Source organism: Homo sapiens, chromosome 1 (genome assembly GCF_000001405.40).
Source record: "Homo sapiens chromosome 1, GRCh38.p14 Primary Assembly".
Lineage (NCBI taxonomy): Eukaryota > Metazoa > Chordata > Mammalia > Primates > Hominidae > Homo > Homo sapiens.
The window spans coordinates 91,640,148-91,645,963 of record NC_000001.11 but is presented as its reverse complement, the minus strand read 5'-3'; the positions used below and the strand labels follow the sequence as shown (position 1 = coordinate 91,645,963).

The window sequence follows — 5,816 nt, the reverse complement described above, 5'->3', positions numbered from 1 at the left end:
TTATATGTAATGAAGCTTACATATAAACCCCAAAGGACTGAGTTCTGGGAACTTGCAGATAGCTGAACACATGGAGGTGCCTGGAGGGTAAGGCACCCAGAGAAGACATGAAAGCTCCAGGTTCCCTCCCACTTTCCTTGCCCTGTGCATCTCTTCACCTGGCTGTTCATCTGTATCCTTTGTAATATACTATATAATAAATGGCTCGATGTAAGTAAACTGTTTCCCTGAGTTCTGTGAGCCGCTTGGCAAATTAACGGAACCCAAGGAAGGGGTTGGGAACACCCCAGTTTATAGCTGGTTGGTCAGAAACACTGGTCACATCCTACACTTGCAACTGGCATTCTGAAGTGGGGGCAGTGTCATGGGACTGAGCCCTCAACCTGTGGGATCTCTTGCTATCTTCAGGAAGACAGTGTGAGAATAGAATAGAATTTGATTTGAAGACACTCAACTTGTATCCATCAGAGAATCATCTGCAGGATTGCTTGGTGTGTGGGGGAAGACCACCCCCACATCTGGTGTCTGAAGTATTATACTGAGTGACTGTGTGAGAGTAGAGGGTAGGAAAAAACACTTTGGTTTGTCCTATATCCCTACAGCTTTCCTTGTGTTGGTTTTCTTTTCAGTCAGGCCCTCTCGTCGCAGCACAGCAACTCCTGGCCTGTGCATTCTTAAAGCTATTAGTGCTAGCAGAAAGGAATGTCGCTTTCCTGATCATTCTGACCAAAGCCCAAGAATTAAATTCTACTGGAGTCGATGGGGGTGGTGGGGGCGGTGTTGCCCAGCATTCACAAAACAAATGGCCTGAGAGTTGGGGATGAGTGGCTACCTGGGGAGTGCTGACAGTAGAAGAAAAGGACCCAGAAAGCAGGCAGACAAAACTAACCGAGTCCATCACAAAAGTCAATGGGTGGAGCAGGCTGCAAAAAATCAGGTCCCCATCCTGCTTAGACCCTGCTGGATTTGGAGGTTTATCTGCATCTCCATGACCTTCCAAGCAAACAAGATTATCTCAACACTCTGCATATGACTCTTTAGTGTGAACTGTTTTTAAAAAATATGTATTGTTGGGATAAGTAGAAAATTGTGATTATTAGTAAAAGTGACCTTTGGAAATGTTCATTAATTATGTGTATTTTTTCTTATGAATCATCTGTCTATGCTCTTTGCCTATACCATTTTATTAATAAATATATTTATCAGGTATCTCAATACATTTAATAATTGTGCAAAGTCTAAAAATATTTCAACATCTAAAAAAAATTTCATAGACTCTTATACAGGTCTCTGGAGATTATCTAGTAGCGTGACTCTCATTTTACAAAAAATCAAACAAAAGCACTGAGAAGGGAAGTGTCAAGCCAGCTCAATGGATGAAGGAACAGAAAATCCAGTCGGATTCTCCATCAGTTAGATGGTGCTGCCTCTTCAATTACTTCTAAATTTGGTCCCCTCAAAGCCACATTTCCTACTCAATTGCCATATCCAGGAATTACAGAGAGCCACTTTAGTTTTCCCACAGTCTGAAGCATTTTTTAAAGATGGGGTAAATAGTGGAGAGGATTTTAAACTATCTTGAAGCCCCTTGCGATTTCACGCTGTAATTTTTTTTTAGGAGGGGAATCTTTTTTTTTTATACACATGACAAGGTTTTACATCAAGAATGGTCAGTTTAATAGTACAAATTTAACATACATGAGGAGTGTTAAAGAAATTCAACTAAAAAACCCACTTCTTCCTGTGACCCATAATCCCAAATTTTACAGTGCAGGGGAGAAGGGGACTGTGGGGAGCATCCAAAACAAGTCTCTCCCAAAAGAAATGACTTAAATTCCACATTCGCTCTCCACACAGGATCCAAACAGTGAGAGTATAATTTACAATTTATCGTTTTCAGCTGTAGATTCCTTTGCTGTTTCTTGTTCTTCTTCATCTGTTCCTACATCCGTTTCTTTGTCTTCATCTTGCTCTGTGTCTTCTGTTGTGTCTTCAAGTTCTTCTTTGGGTTCTTCTTCCACCTTTGCATCAGGGTCAATGTTCAAACTGAGCGAAGGATTCTTTCTATTCTATCTCCATATGCTTTAGTGTCTGGTAAAAGATATCCTGACCGAAGCGTTGCTGTTTCACACAAAACTACAGCAAGAACCAAAACTATTTTATCATCTTCACCTTCCTTAATTCATCAAAGCATGTCTCTGATCAGTGGGTGTCTGGGATTAATTTCAAATGTTTTCTTCTGACTTGCATAGTAATTTGCAGAGCTGTCCTTGCTCGTTTGGTATGCTTGTGCTTTCATGATTCTCTCCGTGTTGCCAGACCGTCCGTACTGGCTGGCCACCAAAGCACACAGAGATTCTGTCAGGTGCTGAGACACCACAGCCTTCTCAATTTTGTCCTTAAGGGCTTTATCTTTCATCCAATTGAGCAGAGGCTCAAATTCTTTCTCAACTGCTTCATGACTCTCCTTAGTTTTCTCACTTTTATCAAACTTCATTCCTTCCTTGACAACATTCTGGAACCTCTTCCCATCAAATTTGGGAAAGGCCTGAATGCAGTGTTCATCCACAGGTTCTGTGAGGTAAATAACTTCACAGCCCTTTTTCAGAAGTCGTTCAACAGATGGAGGAGATTCAGCCTCTTTTCTGCTGGACCCAGCCATGAAGTAGATTTTGTCTTGTTTTCCCTTCATTCTTTCCACATACTGGTCTAGTGTAGTAATGTCAGTTGGATGATGAGAAGACTGGAACATAAGAAGTTTAGCAAGACATGTTTGATTGGAGTGGTCTTCAATCACACCAAGCTTGATGTTGGTACCAAATTCTTTCCAAAAATTATCATTGTATTTCTCACCAGCAATCTTCTTGATCTTGTCCAGAGTTTTACAAACAAGCTTCTTCCTAATCACCTTAAGCAGTTTATGTTGCTGAAGAGTCTCAAGGGAAACATTCAAGGGGAGATCATCTGAGTCCACCACACCCTTGACAAAATTAAGGTACTTAGGCATCATATCATGGAATTCATCTGTGATGAATACACAGAGCACATACAGCTTAATGTAATCACTCTTTTTAGATCCATATTCATCAAATAGACCACGTGGATCAGATGTGGGTACAAATAAAATTGATTTGAAGGTAACTTCCCCTTCAGTGGTAAAGTGAATATAAGCCATGGGGTCATCACTTTCCTTTGAAAATGATTTGTAAAAAGCTTTGTATTCATCTTCTACCTTTTTTTTTTTTTACTTCTTTTGATGGTCTCTGCCATACTGGTTTGATATCATTCATAAGTTCCCAGTCTCAGACAGTGTTTTCAACTTTTTTAGTCTTTGATTTCTTTTCTTCTTTTTCTTCCTCTACTGCAGCTTCATCATCAGATTCTTCTTTGTCTTCTTTTGCTGCTTCTTCTACCTCCATGGGCTCCTCAACAGTTTCAACCTTGCTCCAGCCGCACGGTCTGCCCACCTCAGGCTGTAATTTTAATTTCCCCATTAGCACCTTGCAAATCTCCATTCCAGGTAGCACAGTATTCACCAGCATTTTGCCGTTTACATGACACAAGTTATAGCCAAAAAAGGTTAGTGTAGTGTTGTATCCCTGTCAAGGAATAAGAATGAAATGTGGAGACCAAGCTGTGGAATTTTGTAGGAGGAGGAGTGGAAAGGGTGGAGCAACCATTTCAATGTTGGCCTCAGCGCCTCTTTGCTTTGAAATCCTGGATCCTCAAAAAGTTTCTCACCACAGAAGAGACTGAAAATACCCTGATTGGGAGGAGGCATTCTGTGCTCCTCCCACCATTCCTGCTCAGCATCAGTGATGCAGTGAGCGCGTGGGTCAGTATTAGTCCGTTTTCACGCTGCTGGTAAAGACATACCCGAGACTGGGAAGAAAAAGAGAGTTTTGTCTGTTTGTTTGTTTTTGAGATGGAGTCTCACTCTGTTGCCAGGCTGGAGTGCAGTGGTGTGATCTCAGCTCACTGCAACCTCCGCCTCCCGGGTTCAAGCAATTCTCCTGCCTCAGCCTCCTGAGTCGTTAGGATTACAGGCACCGACCACCACGCCCAGCTAATTTTTGTAGTTTTAGTAGAGACGGGGTTTCACCATGTTGGGGTTTCACCATGTTGGCCAGAATGGTCTTGATCTCTTGACCTTGTGATCCACCCACCTCGGCCTCCCAAAGTGCTGGGATTATAGGGGTGAGCCATCACGCCTGGCTGAAAAAGAGGTTTTATTGGACTAACAGTTCCACATAGCTGGGGAGGCCTCAGAATCATGGCGGGAGGCGAAAGGCACTTCTTACAGGGCAGTGGCAAGAGAAAATGAGGAAGATGCAAAAGCAGAAACCCCTGATAAAACCATCAGATCTCATGAGACTGATTCACTACCAGGAGAACAGTAAGGAGGTAACTGCCTCCATGATTAAAATTATCTCCCACCATGTCCCTCCAACAACACATGGGAATTATGGGGGTACAATTCAAGATGAGATTTGGGTGGGGACACAGAGCCAAACCATCTCATTTTGCCCCTGGCCTCTCCAAATCTCATGTCCTCACATTTCAAAACCAATCATGCTTTCCCAACAGTCCCCCAAAGTCTTAACCAATTCAGCATTAACCCAAAAGTCCACAGTCCAAAGTCTCATCTGAGACAAGGCAAGTCCCTTCCGCCTATGAGCCTGTAAAAAAATATGGGAGTACAATTCAAGATGAGATTTGGGTGGGGACACAGAGCCAAACCATATCAGGGTCCCAGCAGATGTGATTTGTAGAAGAGTAACTGGAGGGTTTAGAGTTTCAAAATGTCAATAGAACTTGAGGGAACGTGATTTTTCCTCGCTGAGGAAACTGTTTGTCCAGAGTAAACTTAAGCAATTGTGTTTTGTTGACTCTAAGTTTCAAGACTAATCAAGTATCTCTTGTAGTGTGGAAGGCTAACTGCTGAACTCTGTATTTTTATCTGTTAACTGAGTGTTTCCTTTTTCCTTGATGGTGTGTACCGCTCAAGTGATTATAGATCAGACAGTTGTCTCAATTAAGCTGCTGGCAAGAAAAGAGTAGAATTATTTGAAGTGTAGGCAATAAAGAGGTTTAGCATTATGGAGAGATGGCTCTAGAGCTTCAGATGAACAAAACTTCAGTAATAACAGCAGGAGGGCAGTGTTAAAGCTAATAATAATAGTTAGAGCACTTAGTATGCACCAGACATTGTACGAAACCTTTGCAAGCATTATCTCACTTAATTTCCACAACAATCCATGAGGTAGGTACCATTATGCTCACATCACAGATGAAGAGAATGAGGCTCGGAGTGGTAAAGTTACTTGCCCAAAATCATATGGTAAACTTCTTGGGACCACAGCAAGCAATCTGACTCCAGGATCCTAGGATCCTAAGCTTTCTCTATACAATCTCCATGAATACTCTGGAGGTTGTAGCCTCTGCTCTTGAAATAGTAGCTGCTCAAAAAATATGAGCCAATTGAATGAATAAATGCTCTGTAGTAGGCTGTTCTTTCAGTGCTATAAAGAAACACCTGGCCAGGCATGGTGGCTCACGCCTGTAATCCCAGCACTTTGGGAGGCTAAGGCGGGCAGATCATGAGGTCAAGAGATCAAGATCATCCTGGCCAACATGATGAAATCCTATCTCTACTAAAAATACAAAAATTAGCTAGGCATGGTGGCACATGCCTGTAGTCCCAGCTACTCAGGAGGCTGAGGCAGGAGAATCGCTTGAACCAGGGAGTCAGAAGTTGCAGTGAGACGAGATCGCGCCACTGCACTCCAGCCTGGTGACAGAGTGAGACTCTGTCT

The 5,816-nt window shown here is 42.5% G+C and overlaps 1 pseudogene, besides 1 other annotated feature; it reads right to left on the bottom strand.

Moving 5' to 3' along the window:
• Positions 543-1,109: an enhancer, noted in NCBI's record as "OCT4-NANOG hESC enhancer chr1:92110412-92110978 (GRCh37/hg19 assembly coordinates)". NCBI's record gives its function as "activates a minimal SCP1, AML or CMV promoter by ChIP-STARR-seq in naive and primed H9 embryonic stem cells {active_cell/tissue: H9 hESC(naive and primed)}" and the evidence as "EXISTENCE:reporter gene assay evidence [ECO:0000049][PMID:30033119]".
• HSP90B3P (heat shock protein 90 beta family member 3, pseudogene) lies at positions 1,623-3,446 on the bottom strand (annotated as a pseudogene).